This window comes from Homo sapiens, chromosome 2 (genome assembly GCF_000001405.40).
Source record: "Homo sapiens chromosome 2, GRCh38.p14 Primary Assembly".
In the NCBI taxonomy this organism is placed as follows: domain Eukaryota; kingdom Metazoa; phylum Chordata; class Mammalia; order Primates; family Hominidae; genus Homo; species Homo sapiens.
Window position 1 is genome coordinate 201,552,498 of NC_000002.12, and position 23,726 is coordinate 201,576,223.

The following is a 23,726-nucleotide window of genomic DNA, read 5'->3' on the forward strand; positions in this document are numbered from 1 at the left end:
AGAAAAATTCATGAAGCCATTGCTGAAACCACACCAGCAGGTGCAAAAACTTTGCACTTTTTGTAAAACATGAAATATTTGCTGACTGTTTATGTTATTGGTGGGGCTTCCAGTCAACAGTAGGCTATTAGTAGTTAAGTTGTAAGGGAGTCAAAAGTTATATATGGATTTTCCACTGCATGGGTAGGGGGTGGCAACCCTAACCTTCCATTGTTCAAGATTTAACTCTATTAACATTATCTTTGCAACAGCCTCAATTACATTTATCATCTTTATAAATGTAATTTTACTCACTCTTCTTGAATTTGCTGTAGCCCCAATTCAAGCTTATGATTCCACACTCCTGGATAGTCTTTACTATATGACCCAATAGTCCTACACTGACCATATAGTTAATCCTAGCTCCTGACCACGTACAGGAATATTATTAACTCTATTCATGACATCTTAGTAATATTATTTCACTTTAACTTGATTATTTTATTATGTGTAGGTCTACTAACTAATATATTAACCGTCTACCAGTGATGATGAGATAGCTGAGAAAGTGCACTGCAAGGCCTCCATACATTAATCATTCAAAAATGCCTCTAATACAGAATAATTTATCATATCACATGTTTTTTTCTGAGCCTTCTATCACTCAAGCCTAGCCCCGACCCCAGAACTGGGAGGTTGCTGACCACCAACAGGTATTCACCCACTTATTCTCCTAGAAGTTTAACTACTCAATACATCAGTCCTGTTAGCCTCAGGAGTATCAATCACCCAAGTACACCATAGCTTAATAGAAGAAATCCGCAAACATATACTTCAAGCTCTCTTCATCACAATTTCATCTGGCATTTCTTTTATATTATTACAAATCTTAGAACACTTCAAAACATCCTTTACCATCTGTGATGGTGTAAATGACTCAATATTCTTCATAGTAACAGGCTTCCAATGACTACATGTAATTATCAGCTCCAACTTCCTTATCCTTTTCTTCTTATGTCAACTTAACATTTAACCACCATTTTGGTTTTCAAAACCAAAGTTTTTAGGTAACCAAGTTACCTAATAATGATATTTTACAGATGTAATTACTATTTCTGTACATTTCTGTCTATTGATGAAGTTCCTATTCTTTTAGTATTAACTGTACAACTGACTTCCAATCAGTTAGCTTCAGTCTAAGCTGGAAAATAATAATTAACCTTACATTAACTTTAGCAACTAATACATCATTAGCACGACTACTTGTAATCATCACATTCTGCTTCCCACAACTAAACATCTATACAGAAAAATCAAGCTCATACAAATGTGGATTTGATCTAATAGGCACTGTCTGCCTGCCATTTCCAGAAAATTTTTTGTATTAACTATTACATTTCTATTCAACCTAGAAATTTCCCTCCTATTACTACTACCATGAGCATCTCAAGTAATCCAAAAGTTATTCTTACTATAGCTCTAATTTTAAACTGCATTCTAGACTTAGGCCTAAGCTTATGAATGAATCCAAGATGGACTAGAATGAGTGACTTAAGTATGGCAACAAGTTTAAATTACAACAAATAATTCTGACTCATATGGTAAGCATAATTACCAATATGCTTTCAATTTATATCAGTATCATTCTAGTTTACATCACATCCCTAACAGGACTACTAGTATAATGGGATCACACCTAATATCTCCATTACTATGTTTAAAACATATAATACTATCACTATTCTAGGAAGCCCTGTAATTTTAAATATATGCTTTTTCTTATCCACCATAATACCTATCATTTTACTAGTATCTGCAGCCTGTGAGGCTGCCATAGGCCTGGCATTACTAACAATGGTATCTAGTACATATGGCTCAGATTACATATAAAACTCAAATCTTCTCCAATGCTAGCAATTATTGTACCCACAATTATACTTATGCCAGTGACACGATATTCTAAAAATTCTAAAATTTGAATTCACACAACTATGCACTGCTTACTAATTAGTTTCATCAAATTATTCCTCTTAAGCCAATTTAGTAAAAATAACCTAAACTTTTCATTAGTTTTTTTCTCCAACTCACTATCAGCCTCCATTTCATTATACTAACAAATTGATTACTTCCCCTAATAATTATAGCAAGTTAACATCATCTCTCCAAAGAATCATATATATGAAAAAGCTACATATTTCAATATTAATCTTTCTACATTTATTCTTAATCATAACATTTACTGCCACAGAACTAAATCTATTTTACATTCTCTTTGAAGCAACACTAATTCCAACTCTAATTATTATTCTCTGATAAGGAAACAAAAGAGAATGATTAAATCCAGGGCTCTATTTCCTGTTCTACACACTAATTGGTTTTTTACCTCAACTCGTATCATTAATTTTTATCCAAAACTCCACATACTCATTACACTTTTTAATAACCTGTTACTGTGTTCAAACTCAGCTCTTGACATAATAGTCTTTTATGATTAGCATGCATTATAGCATTTATGGTCAAAATACCCCTTTATAGTTTCTATCTCTGACTAACAAAGTACACACAGAAACTCCAATTGCTGAATCCACAGTTTTTGCAGCCATAAAATTAGCAGGCTTTAATATAATACGAATTACTATAATTCCAAACCCACTAATGGAATATATAGCTTATCCATTTCATATAGTATCCCCGTGATGAATAATTATAACACACTCTATTTGTTTACACCAAATAGACTTAAAATCACTTATCACAGTCAGGCTTGGTGGCTCACGCCTGTAATCCCAGCACTTTGGGAAGCCGAAGTGGATGGATCACTTGAGGCCAGGAGTTCAAGACCAGCCTGGCCAACGTGGCAAAATCCCATCTCTACTAAAAATACAAAAATTAGCCAGGCATGGTAGCGCATGCCTGTAATCCCAGCTACTCAGGAGGCTGAGGCACAAGAATAGCTTGAAGCCAGGAGGCAGAGGTTGCAGGAAGCCAAGATCGTGCCATTTCATTCCAGCCTGGGAGACACAGCGAGACTCTGTCTCAATAAAAACAATCACTTATCACATATTCATCCATAAATCATATAGCACTAACATTTATAGCCATTTTCATCCAAGCTCAACGAATTTTTATAGGAGCCATAACCCTAATAATTGCCCATGCCCTCACCTCATCCATACTATTCTTCATCACAAACTCAAATTATGAATGAATTTATAGCTGAAATATGCTCTTCATTCAAGGACTGCAGACATTACTCCCTTTAATAACAACATGATGAGTATTAGCTAGCCTAACCAATCTAGCCCTACCACCAACCATCAACCTAATCAGAGAACTATGTGTAGTCACAGCACCATTTTCATGATTTAATTTTACCATTATTATTAATAGGACTTAATATATTAATTATAGCCTAATATTCCCTCTGCATATTAATTACAATGCAACAAGGAAAATTTACCAATCACATTAATAAATTAGCCATCACTCACATTAGAAAATGCTTTATACATCTACCTCTGCTACTCCTATCACTTAATGACAAAATTATTCTAGGACCTACATACTGTTTTTAAAAAAATTCAGATTATAAATAAAACAATAGAAGCTTAAAACTCTTTATTTACTGAGAAAGTATGCGATAACTGCTAATAATGCCCCCATATATTAATATAACAATATGGCTTTATCAACTTTTAAAGGATACAAGTAATCCATTGGTTTTAGGGACCAAAAAAATGATGCAACTTCAGGCCGGGTGCAGTGGCTTACGCCTGTAATCCCAGCACTTTGAGAGGCCGAAGAGGGCGGATCACGAGGTCAGGAGATCGAGACCATCCTGGCTAACACGGTGAAACCCCGTCTCTACTAAGAACACAAAAAATTAGCCAGGGGTGGTGGCGGGCGCCTGTAGTCCCAGCTACTCGAGAGGCTGAGGCAGAAGAATGGCGTGAACCCGGGAGGCGGAGCTTGCAGTGAGCCGAGATCACGCCATTGACTCCAGCCTGGGCGACAAAGCAAGACTCCACTTCAAAAAGAAAAAAAAAAAAAAGATGCAACTCCAAAAAAGTAGTAAGTGTTTGGCTCACATCTGTAATCCCAGCACTTTGAGAGCCCAAGGCAGGCAGATCACCTGAGGTTAGGAGTTTGAGAGCAGCCTGGCCAACATGGTGAAACCCTGTCTCTACTAAAAATACAAAAATTAGCAGGGTATGGTGGTGCACACCTGTAATTCCAGCTACTCTAGAGGCTGAGGCAGGAGAATTGCTTGAACCTGGGAGGCAGAAGTTATAGTGAGCCAAGTTCGCACCACTGCACACCAGCCTGGGTGACAGAGTGAGACTCTGTCTAAAAAATATAAATAATAAATAAATAAATAATAAAAATAAATAAAAGCAAAAAAAGAAAAAAGTAATATGTTTATTCTCTTCCTTTATCACCATTTCACTTATCTTAATTTTAGAAATTATCATAACTATTACCAACACATATAAAGATATTTCATACCCTCACTATGTAAAAACTTCTACATCATATGCTTTTATAACCAGTCTCATTCCAGCTCTAATATACATTTACTAGGCCAAGAAATAACCCAAGTAACTATTCAAACCTTAAAACTAACACTCAGCTTCAAGTTACATTATTTCTCAATAATATCTGTACCAGTGGCACTTTCTGTTACATGATCAATCATAGCATTTTCAATATGATACATAAATTTAAATTCAAACATTGATTTTTAAAATATTTACTTATATTTCTCATCCTTATACAAATTTCAGTTACTGCCAACAACCTCTGACAACTGGCAACTCTATTGGATGAGAAGGGGTGAGAATTATATCATTTTTACTTATCAAATGATGATACAGCAGAGGGGATGCAAGTATAGCATCCCTCCAAGCTATTTTATATATTGCATTGGAGATATCAGATTTCTATTATCAATAGCACAATTTTTACTATTCTAAGACACATGGGAGTTTCATCAAATTTTCATGCTCAACCCCAACCCTATATCTTTCCATTAATTGGGCTCCTTCTGGAAACAACTGGCTAATCTGTCCAATTTGGCCTTCATTTATGATTACCATCAACAATAGAAGGCCCAGCACCTGTCTCAGACCTACTCCATTCCAGCACAGAAGTTGTAGCAGGATTTTCCTATTAATCTGCTTTTCACCTACTCATAGAAAACAACAAAACAATTAAAACACTAACAATATGCTTAGGTGCTGTTAACACTTTATTCTCAGCAATTTGTGCCCTAACACAAAATGACATCAAAAAGGTCACATTTTCCACATCAAGCCAACTAGGTCACTATTGGTATTAATCAACCACATCTAGCATTTCTCCATATCTGTACACATGCATTCTTCAAAGCTATGCTGTTTATATGCTCCAGATCCATCATTCATAACCTTAATGATGACCAGGATATTAAAAAAATAGGAGGCCTCTTTAGAGCTACACTCTTCACCACTTTTTTGCTTATTACTGTAAGCCTCACATTTACATGTATGCCTTTTCTTACAGGCTTCTACCCCAAGGATTTAAATATCAAAATTGCTAACACATCATAACCTGAGCGCTTTTAATTACACTTATCGCCACCTCCCTAGCAACTGTCTATTGCATTTGAATTATTTCCTTTGCATACCTAGGACGACTTCACTTTTAAACTTTAATAAATATCAGTGAAAACAACCTCCTCCTAATTAATTCGCTAAATGTTTAACAACTGGTAGCATTTTCCCTGGATTTTTTATCTACAACTGTCTTAGTATTATCTCCCACTACTCATACAGGTTTTTCAAGCCATGATGCCAGCAAGATAGCTGACTAGAGATGCCTGGCACTTATCACTCCCACAGGAAAGGACCAATGCACTGAATAAACAACTAAGATTTGACTGGAATGTCAAAGGGACAGCACTGGCATGCAGCAGGGGAATGGAGACACACCTGCGGTGACTGGAAGTCCAGGAGGGCAGTGTGAAGGCAAACAGCCTCTGCTGCCCTGTCTCCTCTGTCTGGATCAGATCAGCCTGGACACAGGAGGGACTTCCCATTGTTGGGAAAAGGTTAGCAGAATATCCCCACCAGCCCCCATTGCCACCACAAATATCAACAATCCTTTCTACAGCAGAACCCCATAGTCCTCACAGGCCTTGAGTACAGTGTTAAGAGATGCTGGGAATTCACATAGCTGCATTGCCCTGGATTAGGAACGCAAGGTATGCTCCCCGCTGCCCCCAGATCCACCTCTGTGAGCCAAGCTGCTACAGCACAGTGCCATCTTGAAGCGCACCCTCCTCTGGGGGACAGTGGCCACTGCACCTCTCCAGCACTGGAGCGCCATCTTCATTACACCTCCAAACCCACATAGGTGACTGAACACTACACCCCAGTTGCACAGAGCCTGGGTCTAGTACTAGCTGTGACTATGGTCCTGCACAGCAGGGAAACCAACCCCAGCCACCATACTTCCAGCTGGAGGAACTGAAACTGCCACTCTCACCCAGGGTGAACCTGTCCTTAAGCTGGCCAAACTGCTGCATGCCCCCAAGCCGAAGAGACTCTTGAGCCTCAGAGCAGCTGATATATCCCTGGGCCAACAGGGTGGCTATGCACCCATGCTCAGGACCTGAGAAACAGCCCCGTAGCACCCCTGGCTTGCCCAATGGCCCTGTACCCCCAATAAGGGCCAGAGAAACCATCTTGCAGGCTGCCCCTGACAGGCATGTCCCCAGGCTGGGCAAGCAGCCAAGAGCCCATGTCCAGGACCTGAGAAACAGCTCCTCAGGCTACCTCCAGTGGCCATGCCCCTGAGCAGCTTTGCACCTGCATCCCAGACCTGTGAAATGGCCCTGTGGGCAGCCCCCAGCAGACACATCACCAGGCCAGCAAAGCAGCTGTGCCCCCACATCTCAGGCCCAAGAAACATCCCTACGGGCTGCCCCTGGCAGATAGGATTCCAGGCCAGCTGAACAGCTGTGTGCCCACATCTGACGCCTATGAAACAGCCCCACAAGTTGCTCTGGGCAGGAATACTCCCAGGTCAGACAAGCCACTGCATGCCACCCATTTAAGAAACAGCCCAGTGAGACCATCCCTGACAAAGTCACACCACCACCTCTACAGACTCTCTCAGCCTAGGCTACTGAGAAACTTGCAAATGCCACTAATATAGATTATAGCCGAAAAAACTATGTGAAGACTAAACTACTGGATCCACCTAGAACCGGGCCAATGTGCCCCGCCAATCTGATATCCCAAGATGTCATACAATATTCATACAAATATTTCCCTGGGAAATCTACTACATACGACTGAAAGAGGTGACTTTTCCATCAGATGCATAGAAATCAATGTAGGGACACATGAATCAGGAAAAAGCAAGGAAACGTCACCTTCAATAAAAACAATAATTCTCCAGTAACAGACCCCGATCATAAGGAAATACATGAAATGTCAGAAAAAAATTAAAAATAATGATCTTAAGGAAACTCAGCGAGATATAAGAGAATACAGACAGACAATTAAATCAGGAAAACAATTCATGATTTAAATGATAAATTCAACAAATAAATAGATATAAAAAGAACCAAACGGACATTCTAGAGCTGAAGAATTCAATGACTGAAATAAAATGTAAAATTGTGGGCCAGGTACGGTGGCTCACACCTGTAATCCCAGCACTTTGGGAGGCCAAGGTGAGTGGATCATTTGAGATCAGGAGTTCAAGACCATGCTGGCCAATAAGGCGAAACCCTGTCTCTAGTAAAAATACAAAAATTAGGCTTGGTGGCTCACATCTGTAATTCCAGCTACTCGGAGGCTGAGGCACGAGAACTCCTTGAACCCAGGAGGTGGAGGTTGCAGTGAGCCGAGATAGTACCACTGCACTCCAGCCTGGGCAACAGAGCAAGACTCTGTCTCAAATAATAATAATAATAATAATAATAATAATAATAATAATAATAATAACAACAACAACAACAATAATAATAATGAAATGTACAATAGAGACCAGGCCACGCAGAAGAAATAGTTTCTGAACTTAAAAGAAGGTCTATTGAAATAATACGGGCAGATGAAAAAGAATAGAATAAAGAAAGGCTACAGGACTTACGGGACACTGTTAAACAAACAAATTATCACATTATGAGAGTTCCAGAAGAAGAGAAGCTCCTATAATCACAAGAAACTGAATTCTTCAAACAACCTGAACAAACTTGGAAGAGGACCCCGCTAAATGAGAATGCGCTGACCAACACCTATATTTCAGCCTTGTGAAATCTCTCTTTTTTTTTTTTTGAGACAGAGTCTTGTTCTGTCGCCCAGGCTGGAGTGCAGTGGCATGATCTCAGCTCACTGCAACCTCTGCCTCCCAGGTTCCAACGATTCTCCTGCCTCAGGCTCCTGAGTAGCTGGGATTACAGGTGCCCGCCACCACGCCTGGCTAATTTTTGAATTTTTAGTAGAGACAAGTTTTCACCATGTTGGCCAGGTTGGTCTCAAACTCCTGACCTCATGATCGGCCCGCCTCGGCCTCCCAAAATGCTGGAATTACAGGCGTGAGCCACCACGCCCGGCCAGCCTCATGAATTCAATTACACTCTTCCCAGACTTCTGACCTACCGTAAGAAAATACATAGATATTGTTTTAAACAACTAAGTTTGTGATAATTTGTTATGCAGCAATAGGAAGAGAATACAACCAATGACTATTAGTAAACAAATGAAAATTGCAGCATATTCACCAAATGGAATGCCATGAAACAGCATAGATGAGTCTTAGAAACATAATGGTGGGTAATGTAAGCAAAATCAAATAATGCATTATTTAAGCATCCTACATATACGACTTTTTTAAAAAAATTAATTTTCAAAAGGCAAAAAATAAAATCAAAACTCATTGAAGTAGTTAACTTCTGGGAAACAGGCAGGAGGATGAGATAGGAGAGAAACTCATAAGTAGATACAAATTATCCATAATGTTTTAGGTTAGGTTAAGAACTGGTTGGTAGCATTATATTATTCTATACATAATTAGTATTATGGATTATTATTTTGGATCAAATATTATATTTAAAAGATAATATAGGCTGGGCTTGGTGGCTCACGCCTGTAATCCCAACACTTTGGAAGGTCAAGGCACGTGGATCATTTGAGGTCAGAAGTTCGAGACCAGCCTGACCAACATGGTGAAACCCCATCTCCACTAAAAGTACAAAAAAATTAGCCGGGCATGGTGGCACATGCCTGTAGTCCCAGCTACTCGGGAGGCTGAGGCAAGAGAATCTCTTGAACTCGGGAGGCAGAGGTTGCAGTGAGCCAAGATCACGCCACTGCACTCCCGCCTGGGTGACAGAGTGAGACTCCATCTCAAAAAAAAGGAAAGAAAAGGAAAAAAAAAAAGATAATATAAAACACCTACAACAGCCTCCTACTTTTCTTATAATAAAATTCAAATTATGGTCTATAAGGCTCTGAATAATCTGGTCTCCACCTATCTTGTCTCAAGCCACCTTCCCCCTTACTTTTTGGTCCATTTACAAATGGCTGCCATCTTTTTCTAGGCATAATCTCTTCTTATCTTAGAGCTTTCATACAAATTCATACAGTAATTCTCTACCCCTGGATCTTTGGTATGCTGACTCCTTTCCTTTAATGTTACCTCAAATATCTTCTCTAATAATTCTTTTTTTTTTTTTTTTTTGAGATGGAGTCTTGCACTGTCTCCCAGGCTGGAGTGCAGTGGCGCGATCTCGGCTCACTGAAACCTCCCCCTCTTGGGTTCAAGCGATTCTCCTCCCTCAGCCTCCCGAGTAGGTGGGACTACAGGCGCCCACCACCACGCCCGGCTAATTTTTTGTATTTTTAGTAGAGATGGGGTTTCACTGTGTTAACCAGGATGGTCTCAATCTCCTGACCTCGTGATCCACCCGCCTCAGCCTCCCAAAGTGCTGGGACTACAGGCGTGAGCCACCACGCCCGGCCCCTTCTCTAATAATTCTTTATTTATTTATTTATTTATTTATTTTTTTTATTGATCATTCTTGGGTGTTTCTCACAGAGGGGGATTTGGCAGGGTCATAGGACAATAGTGGAGGGAAGGTCAGCAGATAAACAAGTGAACAAAGGTCTCTGGTTTTCCTAGGCAGAGGACCCTGCAGCCTTCCGCAGCGTTTGTGTCCCTGGGTACTTGAGATTAGGGAGTGGTGATGACTCTTAACGAGCATGCTGCCTTCAAGCATCTGTTTAACAAAGCACATCTTGCACCGCCCTTAATCCATTTAACCCTGAGTGGACACAGCACATGTTTCAGAGAGCACAGGGTTGGGGGTAAGGTCACAGATCAACAGGATCCCAAGGCAGAAGAATTTTTCTTAGTACAGAACAAAATGAAAAGTCTCCCATGTCTACTTCTTTCTACACAGACACCGCAACCATCCGATTTCTCAATCTTTTCCCCACCTTTCCCCCCTTTCTATTCCACAAAGCCGCCATTGTCATCCTGGCCCGTTCTCAATGAGCTGTTGGGCACACCTCCCAGACGGGGTGGTGGCCGGGCAGAGGGGCTCCTCACCTCCCAGTAGGGGCGGCCGGGCAGAGGCGCCCCTCACCTCCCGGATGGGGCGGCTGGCCGGGCGGGGGGCTGACCCCCCACCTCCCTCCCGGACGGGGCGGCTGGCCGGGCGGGGGCTGACCCCCCACCTCCCTCCCGGACTGGGCGGCTGGCTGGGCAGAGGGGCTCCTCACTTCCCAGTAGGGGCGGCCGGGCAGAGGCGCCCCTCACCTCCCGGACGGGGCGGCTGGCCGGGCGGGGGGCTGACCCCCCCACCTCCCTCCCGGACTGGGCGGCTGGCCGGGCGGGGGGCTTGACCCCCCCACCTCCCTCCCGGACGGGGCGGCTGGCCGGGCGGGGGGCTGACCCCCTCACCTCCCTCCCGGACGGGGCGGCTGGCCGGGCGGGGGGCTGACCCCCCACCTCCCTCCCGGACGGGGCGGCTGGCCGGGCAGAGGGGCTCCTCACTTCCCAGTAGGGGCGGCCGGGCAGAGGCACCCCTCACCTCCTGGACGGGGAATAATTCTTATAAAAATCAGTCAACTCCTTTATTTTCTACCATCTTTTTGATACCTTTGTAGTTTATTTCTTAATTTATAATTTACTTGTTTTGCTTTTTTATGTCTCTACTCATTATACTCTAAGTTCTTTCAGAAAAGATACTATGATCTTTAAAATGATCACTGTAATTCTGAGCTAGGTTATTTCAGACCAATCATCTCACTGCACAACTGTAAAAGCTGGACAAAACACTGTCTAAATCGTGTTGGAAAGAATCAGTGAGTTATAAAGACAGCAAGGATTTGCACACCCAAGATTCCAGACAGAAAGGAAGTCCAGAGACATGGAGCCCATCATTTGGTGCCATTTTTCCTTCAAGGCATTTATGCCTTGAGATGGCCAAGAAGTTAAAAAGCTGAGCAGAGCTTTGAGATAGAAATACAACGATGTGAGAACAAAAACCAGAGTCCAGGGCTTGTTGGGATGAGAAGTCCTGGAAAACACCCGGTTGGGACCCCAAAAGAGAATGAGTGTCTCTTCAAATGTTATGACCTAAGTTACCTCATGTGCCTCACACTAGTCCCAGTCCTGACTCTAGGAGTAAGAATAAACCACAAAGAGACTAACCCCCCTCACAAGAACTAAAGCCCAGCTTCAAATCATTTCAATTTCAATCTTAATTGAATTAAAGTGATCTGGGATTGTTAGTGCTCCTAGCCCAGCTGGCTGCCAGATACAAATGTATACTTTCTCTGTAGGTATATGTAATTAAAATTAAGCTCCTCAAATTAGTTCTATAAATTTTCAAGTACAATGTCTGGCACTCAGTCAAAACAACTAAGCATGTGAGAATGTAAGAACTGACTGAAAACTAAGAGAAAAAAACCAATAATTTAAATAGACTCACAGAAGATCCAGATAATGAAATGGTCAGACTTGGATTTTAAAATAGCAATGATTGCTATAAACTGAAAGTGTACATACCCCAAAATTCATATGTTGAAATCCTAATCCCTTATGTGATGCTATTTGGAGGAAGGGCCTTTGGGAGGTAACTGGGTCATGAGGGTAGAGCCCTCATGAATGGGATTGGTACTCTTATGATAAGAGACATGAGAGAGATGATCTCCCTCCACAGTGTGAGGATATGGTAAATAGAAGGCCATTTGCAAACCAGGAAGAGGGCCCTCAGCAGGAATCAAATCAGTTGGCACCTTAATCTTGGATGTCCCAGCCTCCAGAACTGTAATAAATAAAAGTCTATTGTTCAAACCATTCAATCTATGGTATTTGTTATAGCAGCCTGAGCTGACCGAGACAATAATAAATATGTTCAAAGAATTAAAAGACAAGGCTGTGGATTGTGGCAGATAAATAGAAACTATAAAAATGAAGGGAAATTCCATAGTCGAGAAATAAAATAACTGAAATTAAGAATTCAATTGATTTAATGGCAGAATAGAAACAAGAAAGAGCCTGTGAACTAGAATATAAGTCAGAAGAAAATACCCAGACTGAAGCATAGCAAAAAAAAGGACAAGAAATACAGAAAGAAAAAAAAAAGCACGAGACCTACGAAATACACTGGTGAATGAGGAGACAGCAAGAATTATGCTTTATCCCTCATAAATGAGTTTTCACCTCAGCTAGGCACAATGAAATCCCAGCACTTTCGGAGGCTGAGACTGGAGGATCACTTGAGGCCAGGAGTTCGAGACCAGACTGGTCAACAGAGCAAGGCCTCGTCTCAAAAAAAAAAAAAAATTAGCCAGGTGTGGTGATGTGTGATGTGTCTGTAGTCCCTGCTTCTTGGGAGGCTGAGGCTGGAAGATTGCTTGAGCCCAAGAGTTTGGGGCTGCAGTGAGCATAATCGTGCCACTACACTCCAATCTGGGCCAAGCTGGGTGACAGAGTGAGACACTGTTTCAAAAAATAAAAATAAAGGGAGTTTTCACCTCTTTCTTTGGCATAACACTTTTTCAAACAAGATACCTAAATTGACAAGTAAAAATCAGAAATAATCTCTGAACCCATGAAACAACGGCACCATAATGAAAGTTTCTGAGCCTATAGCAAGCCTATGTCTCAAAGGGAGAAATTAATATATTATACAAATAACACCTAAGATGAAAATTTTGAGCTCTTTTGAATTTTTTTTTTTTTTTTTTTTTACCTTTCCCGGGGTTGTTGCTGAAGTTTTTCAAGTCGCACTACAGATGGCTGGTTGGAGGATTGCACAGCTGGAGTCCCAACAGTAACATTCAGGTCTGGGGATAAGAATGCTGGATATTCTACTGTCTGTGGTGTAATAACTTTTCTGCAAAATAATAATAAAGTGAAATATTGAAATTATACAAAAGTCCACTTCCAAAATCAGTGGCAGCTATCACTTTTGAACCCTTCTCTTTTACACTTTTAGCTCACCTAGCCACCTTGGGCCATCGAAGGCTAGAGCTAGGAAAAAAGCCAAGAGCCACAAATCTAGAGATAAGTGCTCTCTTGATTATCCTTACTACTAAACTTAGATCATAGGCAGCAGGGATGGAAAAGGACAGAAGGGCCTCAAGTTCTAATGAGAAGTACAAAGTATTTGAGCCCAGACCTCTCTCCAAATCTTTAGACCCAAATCTCTAACTCTTTTTTTAAATTTCTTTTTTTTTTTATTATTATACTTTAAGTTCTAGGGTATATGTGCACAATGTTCAGGTTTGTTACATATGTATACATGTGCCATGTTGTGTGCTGCACCCATTAACTCGTCATTTACATTAGGTATATCTCCTAATGCTCTCCCTCCCCCCTCCCCCCACCCCTCACAGGCCCCAGTGTGTGATGTTCCCCATTCTGTGTCCAAGTGTTCTCATTGTTCAATTCCCACCTATGAGTGACAACATGCAGTGTTTGGTTTTTTGTCCTTGCGATAGTTTGCTCAGAATGAAGGTTTCCAGCTTCACCCATGTCCCTGCAAAGGACATGAACTCATCCTTTTTTATGGCTGCATAGTATTCCATGGTGTATATGTGCCACATTTTCTTAATCCAGTCTATCATTGATGGACATTTGGGTTAGTTCCAAGTCTTGCTATTGTGAATAGTGCCGCAATAAACATACGTGTGCATGTGTCTTTACAGCAGCATGATTTATAATCCTTTGGGTATATACCCAGTATTGGGATGGCTGGGTCAAATGGTGTTTCTAGTTCTAGATCCCTGAGGAATCACCACACTGTCTTCCACAATGGTTGAACTAGTTTAATATTTTATTTTTAAAATCTATTAATTTTTTGGAATGTATTTTGTGCTAGGTGCAATGTTCATATGGCTATGTATATTACCTCATTCACTTTTCACAGCAAGCCCATCAGATGAGAATTATTAGATCCTATTTCATATATAAGAAAGCTAGTGTTAGAAAGATTAAACAACTCCTCCCAAGGTCTTACAGCTGGTAAGTGGCAAAGCTAACATTTGAACACAGTCTCTTTGACAATAAAGTTTAGATTCTTAAACTCTATTCTATACTATGCATAGTGGTAAGCACCTTAAACTCAACATGTCCAAAATAGAACTCACGATTTTCCCCTTCTCCAGATATGCTCTTTCTTAAGTGTTCCCTGGTTCAGGAAATAACAGCAACAAATGTATACCCAGTGGTCCCTAAATGTGAACATCTTTTTTCCTCCTTTCCCCTTCTGTCATCTTCCATCTCCAGTCACTTCCTAATTACAGGAGATATAGCTAAACATTCTAAATATTTTACGAATTAGTTTGTTCCTCTCTTCCATTATATTAGTCAGGGTTGTCCATAAAAAGAGAACCAATAGGATGTATATATACATAAATATATTTATGATAAGCAATTGGCTCATGTGATTATGGAGGCTGAGAAGTCCCAAGATCTGCAAAGTTAATCAGCAAGCTGGAGACCCAGGAGAGCCAAAGGTATAATTTTAGACTGAGTTCAAAGGCCTGAGAATCAGGAGAGCCAATAGTGTAGTTCCAGTCCAAAGGCTGGTAGGCTGGAGATCCAGAAGAGCTGATGTTTCAGTTTGAGTCCAAAGGCAGGGAAAAGTTAATGTCCCAGTTCAAAGATAGGCGGGAGGAATTCTCTCTTACCCCAGGGTGAGTCAATCTTTTTGTTTCATTCAACTTGTTGGATAAGGCCCACCCACACTAGGGAGAGCAACCTGCTTTACTCAGTGTGCCAGTTTAAAAGTGAATCTCATCATAAACACCCTCCTCTCAGAACAATTTTTGACCAATAGCTAGGTACCTTATGGCTGCCGCTAACACGTCATTAGATCTGTTGCATGATATGATCCAAATGGCAGAGCAGCTTGCATGGCAGCCTGGACCTGTTGCAGAGCCTTCTCTTGTTCTGGGCCCCACTCAAAACTGGCAGCTTTTTGAGTCATCCAGTAAATGGGCCAGAATAACACACCCAAAGGAGGAACAGATTACCTCCAAAATCCAAAGAGGCCCAGCTGTGGTTATTTCTCCAGGTGTTGTATCTCTTTTTTGTTGTAGGAGAAGCCAGATGCAACAACCCATCCTTCACTGTATACAGGATGTCACCACCCATACCATGGACCCCTAGAAATTTCACTGAGGTAGAAGGCCCTTGAATTTTTGTCATATTTATTTCCCACTCTCTGACACAAAAATGTCTTATCAGTAAGTCTAGAGTAGTTGCTACTTCTTGCTCACCAAGTCCAATCAGCATGTCATCAATAAAACGGACCAGTCTGCTATTTTGTGGAAGAAAAAGGCAATCAAGATCCCTGGGAACTAAATTGTAATGTAGGGCTAGAAAGCTGATATACCCCTAAGTTAGGACAGTGAAGGTGTATTGCTCACCTTGTCAGCCAAAAGCAAACTGCTCCTGATGGTCTTTATTAGCAGGTATGGAGAAATAAGCATTTGCCAGATCTGTAGCTGCACATCAGATACCAGGGGATATGTTAATTTGCTCAAACAATGAAACCACATCTAGTATAGCAGCTGCAATTGAAGTTGTCACTTGGCTAAGCTCACAAGAATCCACTGTGATTCTCTAATATCCATCTGTCTTCTTCACAGGCCAAATATGGGAGTTAAATGGAGATGTGGTAGGAATCGCCATTCCTGTGTTTTTCAGGTCCCTGATGGTGGCACTAATCTCTGCAATTCCTCCATGCAGTATTGCTTTCAGTTTACTACTTTCATAGATGGAGGGAGTTCTATGGCGTCTTCTTGGCCTTTCCCAAAATAAAAGCCTTCATTCCACAGATCAGGAAAGCAATGATTCTGCCAGTTACTGAGAATATCTATTCCAATTATGCATCCTAGAACCAGGGAAATAACCACTGGATATGTTCAGGGACCCACAGAGCCAACTGTGAGATGGACCTTAGCCAAAACTCTACTGATCAGTTGAGCTCCATAAATCCTTACTCATTGATGGATCACAGTGACATTCAGAGTCCTCTGGAATTAGTGTTAGTTCAGAGACAGTGTCTAGTAGTCCCCAAAAGCTCTGATTGTTCCCTTCTCCCCAGTGCACAAATACCACGGTAAAAGGCCATAGGTCCCTTTGGGGAAGGCTGGGAGAAATACTAACAGCATAAATTTTTGGAAGTATACTAGGGTCCTTCCTTGAAGGACCTCCCTTTCATTAAAGGAGTTCTGAGTCTGTAAAGTAGCTCAAGTCTGGGAATTGATTGAGAGGCCATGACTCTGTTTTTATGATGCAGGTTAGACTTTTGTTCCCTCGACCCAGAACTTTTCTGCTTATACAGATGAGGTTAGAATTTAGTAGGCTTCCTATCTACTCATGTCTAGGAACACATGATCAGACAGCCAACACCACAGGTTTATACTAGCAAGACTATTCTGATTGCTTCTTTGATTCTACTGTCCATTATGGTAACCATGCCCACCTTGCCTTTGGTAGTTGAGTATCTTCACTTGGTTCCTGCCACCCTGGGACCCAATTACTCCCATTGCATTTAAGTTTCCCAATTCAGTGACTGCAGGTGCCACTGTAAAGTCTGGCCCACAGGGAAGAGCAATCACAGAGCTCTCCAAGGATGCCAGGATACCCTTCACAAACTCATTTCTCATAGTCATGGTAAAACGTGTGTCTTCTGGACCCTCCCAGGATGGGTGAGTCAATCTTAAATGGCAAGTCCACTCTAACATAATTTCTCTGAGCCTCTAAAACCCTTCCTCTACATTAATCGAGCATTTCTAGCTAATTCACTGTGAGCCGTCTTTTGGTTCCTTTTTCAGTCATTCAAGTAAACAAGCTATGAGAGCCCTTTCTAACTCCCCAAGCTACAGCATTAAATGCAAAAATGTCTGCTTAGGCCAGCTGCAGTGGCTCACACCTGCAATCCCAGCACTTTCGGAGTCTGAAGTGGTGGATCACTTGAGCGCAGGAGTTCGAGACCAGCCTGGGCAACATGGCAAAACCCTGTCTCTACAAAAAATACAAAAATTAGCCAAACGTGGTAACAAATGCCTGTATTTCCAGCTACTTGGGAGGCTGAGGAGGGAGGATTGATTGAGCCTCAAGAGGTCAAGGCTGCAGTGAGCCATGATCTGTTGCCTAGGCAACAGAACAAGACCCTGTCTCCAAAAAAATAAATAAATAAAAATAATCTCTGTTTAGTAAGTCCATATCAATAAACTCAGCCTGATCCAACTTTATGTTCCTTCCACCATCATCCCCTGCCCTTAATATCCATCCCTATACATGTTCTCCAGATTTCTGTCTATATAAATTTAAAAACTCAAATAGTTCTTTTGGAGTATATATGGAGTACATTCCTGAGAACCCAAAGGAGTAAAATTTGCTCACATTTGAGAAGCATAAACCTACAATGATGATGATGGTAATGAAAAATATTTATTAATTTTATAAATAGGTAACAACTAATTAGGCATTTTGCTATTTGCTCCCATGTTCTAAGTACTTTACATGTAACTTATTTAATCATTATAGTAACTCAATTGGGTAGTTTTAATTTTTATCCCATTCAACAAATGAAGCATAAAGAGCCTAAGTAACTTGCCCAAGGTCATATAGGATGTGAGCCCATGCAGTCTGGCTCTAGGGCCTGAACTCTCAATCACCGTATCTTGCCCCTGCCAACTCCTCTAGCTCATCCCTCATTGCTCTCCTCCTTGCTCCATCTCTTAGCCACTCTCAACTAAAGACTGTTCTCTAACATAATAGAGTCTCTTATGGCTCCCTGCTTTTACTTCTGTGCTCTATCAAGAGAATGTGTCCCCTCACTCCTCCAAAATCAGCCAGATGCACTACTACCACTTTTACAAGTCTCACTCCAAGCACTTTCTTTTGTGGAGCCTTACTTGATCATTCTTTCCTCCCCAACTTCCCTGACAAGAATTAGAAGCTCCTTGGCATCCCACAGTTCTTTATGTTTGGCTCTTGAAGGGCTTTTATTCCATTGGCATCATCATAGTAATTATTTTTTATGTTATTTTGCATTAAACCACGAGCTACTCAAGGGCAAGGAGAAGGCCTCAGATGTCTTTGTATTTGCCATGACTTGGGGATATAGCAGACATTCAATAAATGTTTATTTAATAAATGTATGAAGAAGAAAGGTAAACATAAGAAAAAGTTCAGCTTTACTATTTCAACAAATCACCAATATCAAATAGATAAAGTATTTTAATGATAATATCCAGTGTTGGTGAGACTACGGGAAAATAAGCACTTCAGAGCACAATTTCCCGTTCAACACCTAATTCCCTCAATCCCATTTCAGCTTTTTTCCATTTCTTATTCTTGGATAACACCATAGATTAAATCTCTTTCTCAGGTGCTCATTTTTCTATAATCTATTTTTATTGTTGAAATTTCAAGATTGATTAGCATACTATATTTTAAGTTACTTTTGGTTTGCTAATGACATTTGTTTTACCATAGACTTTTTACAGATGATTTTGTAGCAATTGGAGTGGTGTAGAGGTAAGGGTAACATTACTATACCGCAGAGCAGAAAACTGATAACTATCAGACAGTCTTATGTTAAGTCTCTCACCTCTTTTCCCAAAAGGGGTATCTCCTTGGCCTGCTTTCCTTATTAAGCTACTCCTCCCTTCCCTCCTTCAGCCATGAACTTGGCACTCCTTCTCTTCTTTTATCTCCATACGTCCTCAACTCCTCTATCCAGGGCTATATCCAGAAATTCAAAATTTCTCCCTGTTATTAAGCAAAACAATTCACTACTCTCTTCACCTCAGAGTCTACCCCATCCTGGCCATGTCCTGGGGACTTCTTAAAATAACTCCACCAAAATGCTCCACCAAATGGATTAAAATTGTTTTAAGTGCCACATGATCTGACCATATTAACGAGACTTAAAACACTTACGTCACGGGATCTGTTCTTTCTGGAGGTGGTGCAAGATTCATAAACATGGATGGCTCAGTAATTTTCTGAAGAGGTTTTAACTGAAAAAAATGTAAGTGTATTTTAGCACTGTTTAGTTTCAATTAAAACTCACTAATTGTAATACCATACCATATTGATACCATAATGCTATGAATACCCCAGGACTATGAAATAGGCCTTAAATGAGACATGTAAGGAAATAAGGAATTAAGAGAGGAAAGAAGACACTAACATTTATTGGGTACTAAATATTTGCCAAGCATTTTATTATACTTTTAATCTTATTTAACCATCTCAATAAACCTATACGGTAAGTAACTAAGCATATTCTACAGATGATACTGAAGATCAGTAATTTGTTCAAGGCTACACAGTAGGCAAGAGTCAGGACTTGAATGTAGCTTTATCTGCCCCCAATGTAGTGCCCTGTTTACAGTATCACGATAGGTTAAGTAGGGGACAATATCACTGAAAAGTTCACAGACATAAAATCAAGTTTTTATTTTGAACTTTTATTATATATCCTATTCTTTTCCATACAATTCCTTTGTTCCTGGTTTTTAGTAGATTCCACCTACATAAAATAATACTTGCCCAGTTTTATCTGAAAAGAATATCTCTCCTTAAAAATGGCTATTACTATATATTATACTTGTGTTCAGACACAAAACCTACCTCCGGAGTTGGTGCTCATAAGCTATAACTGTCACAAAAGGAGTAAACAATTAGGGGTCCCTATAAGGCCTAATTACAATAAGAAATTTAAAAAATAACAGAAGAAAAAGTAAAAAATCAAAGCAGAGAAGGGAAAAAAAAAGCTTGTTCCTTGTGGCTTTCATCTGTATATTACTTCTGATTCAAAATGTATTAAACATCATTATAACATAATATAGGCACAATTTTAAAACATATTACAGAGATTTCTCAGTTAACACAGCGGTAGACTTGTTAAATAAGGCTGATGTCTTCACTCTCAATTCCTAATTTAAAAAGACCCAAAACTTTAGAAAGGAAAAACTGAAAGTGAAAAATGATATGCAAATAAAGGTCATTTCCCCTATATAACAGCAGCACTAAGAGGACTGCATTTTTGAATACCACAAAACTGGTGACACCCAGGAATATTAAGAGTTCTTTCAATATTTGATGAGAGTATATATTGGTACAACTTTTCTAGAATAATTCCTTGAAAAGGTCATTGTTTTGGACAAGAATTTCCTTTCTAGGAATCTGGCCTAAGGATATAATGAGAGAAAAGGATATAAGTTAGTACATAAAAGTATTTGTGGCAATGTGGACCTATGGTAGTGAATTTAAAGGAGGAAGTCAAAATTAGGAAGATATCTTCTTTGGGTTTATTAGTCTCTTGATGAATCAAGGAGAGTTCAAATAGCACCAGATGTTGAAATAACTGTGGAGGAAAGGACCATATGAGTACAAAATATTATCTGAATTAGATCAATTACTCCATTTTGTTTTCTCAGGGCAGGATCTCACTATATTGCCCAGGCTGACTCAAGTGATCCTCCGGCTTCAGCCTCCAGAGTAGCTAGGATTACAGGTGTGAGCCACCAGGCCAGGCAATTACTCAATTTTTAAAAACTATTTTTAGATGCAGAAATCCACACTGATTTCTTGAATACTTGTGTTTCAAATTACATCAACATGTATGTGTACACACAAATAAAAGCAAGTTTTATTTTATTTTTTTTTGAGACAGAGTCTCAGTCTATCGCCCAGGCTGGAGTGCTGTGGTGTGATCTTGGCTCACTACAACTCCCGCCTCCCAGGTTCAAGCGATTCTCCTGCCCCAGCCTCCCAAGTAGCTGGGATTACAGGCGCCTGCCACCATGCCTGGCTAATTTTTGTATTTTTAGTAGAGATGGGGTTTCACCATGTTGGCCAGGCTGGTCTCGAACTCCCAGCCTCAGGTGATTCACCCACCTCGGCCTCCCAAAGTGTTGGGATTATGGGTGTGAGCCACTACACCTAGCCTAAAATCAAGTTTTATAATAAAGACATTTTGAATAAAATATCATTGCTTTAAAATGTATAAACAAATCATAGTAAAGTCTCATCTTTCTTTAGGCTGAAGAGAAGCCCACATACCTCAAAGTCGGGAGGTAAAGAAGCATCTTTTAAAAATATTTATTTTAAACAATTGTTCAAACTGAAATAGAGCCTCAGAAGAGGACGATTTGACTGAAGAGTTACAACAGAATAATCTTTTAAAAGAGGGGAACTAACCTGATGTGAAAATCCATAACCAAAGTTTCCATAGGAGAACATAAATTCCACCTCCAGCCTGCAGACAAACTAAACATGTGATAAATTTTATTGTTTGATCAGGATGATATTTTAATGGAGAAGGGACAAAAAGTGATATTTTTACCTTACAAATCTGTAAGTTAGAAAAGCCAAAGTATGAATCTCCTGACTTTTAAAAAAGCGTTTACACAAGGAACTCCTACAGAAGAATTTATTGAGTTCCTGAAATGTTAAAACCCTTTATGTTAAAGTTAAGTAGTATTATACAATTAAAATATGGAAAATATCAACTTCTAATTGTTACTGGGATTACACTGAGATGCTGACATACATATATACACGTGATTCAAACATGTGTATGAATATACAAATATACATTCATGTATGTATATTTTTAATTATTTACTCACACTCCTCTCACCTCCAGTCCCAGTTTCAGATAAAATTTTGATTTAGACAAGTGATTTCACTTCTCTGAAACCCAGGTTGATAAAGGAGGGCATGAGAGGTAATAAAGTCAAGTGTCCATCTTTCTGTTTTTTATGTTCCTAGCCCCTGTTTTGGCCACTGGCAGCAAAAGCCTCTCTGAATAGAAAGATCAATTAATCCAACTACTAATTTTAAGCACTTAAAAAGAAATTAAATTAAGAACTGCAAACAACTCTTTAGAAACGCTCCAGAGAGAAAAATAATACTTCCTCAATTTAGCAAGTGAGGCTCCTGAGGCTATGCATGTCAAGGCAGCAGCCAGAGGCATTCTACTCTCTTACCCAATGATTTCTAATTTTCTTTATCACCATTTAGCAAAAAAAAAAAAAAAAAAGAAGAAGAAGAAGAAGAGGAGGAAGAGGAGGAGGAGAAGGAGGAGATTTTTGTTAGTTAATATTGTACTTTCTATTTCATACATTTCTACTATTTCAAACAGTGACTGGTATGGTAACTAAAAGAATAAAAACATGTAGGCTACAAATAATATCAGAGTAAAGTTACATGAAATGTTAAGAATATATTACATGCACATAAAACTTAGGAAGTTTCAGTAAAGTCCTTACTATGTTTCCATGCAACACTTGGACCTCTTCAATGAAGCACCCTTTCTAGAAAAAAAAATAAAAATTTTAAATATAGAATTACCCATGTATTTCCCTGTATATTATCGAAACCAAGGGTCCCCAACCCCTAGGCCATGGACTGGTGCTGGTCCATGGCCCATTAGGAACTGGGCTGCACAGCAGGAAATGAGTGGTGGGCAAGCGAGCAAAGCTTCATCTGTATTTACAGCCACTTCTCATCACTCACATTACCGCCTGAGCTTCACCTCCTGCCAGATCAGTGGGGGCATTAGATTCTCATCAGAGCACAAAACCTATTGTGAACTATGCATGCAAGGGATCTAGGTTGCATGCTCCTTATGAGAATCTAATGCCTGATTATCTGTCACTGCCTCCCATCGTCCCCAGATGGGACTGTCTAGTTGCAGGAAACCAAGCTCAGGGCTCCCACTGATTCTACGTTCTGATGAGTTGTATAATTATTTCATTATATATTACCATGTAATAATAATAGAAATAAAGTGCACAATAAATGTAATGCACTTGAACCATCTCGACCCACCCTCCCCATGCTGGTCTGTGGAAAAATTTGCTTCCACAAAACCAGTCCCTGGTGCCAAAAAGATTGGGGACCAATGACCTAAACCACAAATCAGGTAATAATTTTTCAAATGCACATATGAACCTAATAGCCAAAGTACAAACATAAGGAATGTTCAAAAGAAGAAAATAAAAATTCCAAGTTCAAGTAACAGAAATAAATGTATTTTTATTATGTTGTAGACAAAAATGTTCCTGCTAAGTTACAGTTCCCCTTTTTGAAAGTCTTAAAGGAACTGCCATGCCCACATTGTTTTTGAGGGTGTATCGAGCATCCTTGCCATAACTAACTCCATCTTAGAAAAAGACTCCATTTTATATTTCGTAGGGCACTTTGCCAAC

General features: G+C 40.1%; 1 protein-coding gene and 5 pseudogenes across 19 annotated transcripts in view, besides 2 other annotated features; 5 read left to right on the forward strand and 1 right to left on the reverse strand.

The window, feature by feature from the left end:
• The window catches only part of CATSPERT (catsper channel auxiliary subunit tau), a 131,758-nt gene that overhangs the window by 65,077 nt on the left and 42,955 nt on the right, over nucleotides 1-23,726 (reverse strand). For 17 of the 19 annotated variants that reach the window (XR_007069662.1, XM_047443509.1, XM_047443508.1 and 14 more), the window contains 4 exons: nucleotides 22,785-22,829; nucleotides 21,712-21,780; nucleotides 19,444-19,523; nucleotides 13,232-13,375 (listed from right to left, as the gene is read on the reverse strand). Coding sequence is in view for 18 of the 19 variants with exons in the window: in XM_047443509.1 (XP_047299465.1) it covers nucleotides 13,232-13,375; nucleotides 19,444-19,523; nucleotides 21,712-21,780; nucleotides 22,785-22,829 (338 nt within the window). In the remaining variant the exon portion in view is untranslated. The remainder of the gene's footprint in view (nucleotides 1-13,231; nucleotides 13,376-19,443; nucleotides 19,524-21,711; nucleotides 21,781-22,784; nucleotides 22,830-23,726) is intronic. The other 2 variants (XM_047443510.1, XM_047443506.1) reach the window with 1 other exon arrangement.
• On the forward strand, nucleotides 362-1,115 carry MTCO3P16 (MT-CO3 pseudogene 16; annotated as a pseudogene).
• On the forward strand, nucleotides 1,191-1,534 carry MTND3P16 (MT-ND3 pseudogene 16; annotated as a pseudogene).
• Nucleotides 1,599-1,893, forward strand: MTND4LP16 (MT-ND4L pseudogene 16; annotated as a pseudogene).
• MTND4P29 (MT-ND4 pseudogene 29) lies at nucleotides 1,887-3,536 on the forward strand (annotated as a pseudogene).
• On the forward strand, nucleotides 4,459-5,772 carry MTND5P31 (MT-ND5 pseudogene 31; annotated as a pseudogene).
• Nucleotides 6,356-6,415: a silencer, noted in NCBI's record as "silent region_12233". NCBI's record gives its function as "represses an Ori minimal core promoter by ATAC-STARR-seq in GM12878 lymphoblastoid cells {active_cell/tissue: GM12878}" and the evidence as "EXISTENCE:reporter gene assay evidence [ECO:0000049][PMID:35858748]".
• Nucleotides 9,954-10,643: an enhancer, noted in NCBI's record as "NANOG-H3K27ac hESC enhancer chr2:202427174-202427863 (GRCh37/hg19 assembly coordinates)". NCBI's record gives its function as "activates a minimal SCP1, AML or CMV promoter by ChIP-STARR-seq in naive H9 embryonic stem cells {active_cell/tissue: H9 hESC(naive)}" and the evidence as "EXISTENCE:reporter gene assay evidence [ECO:0000049][PMID:30033119]".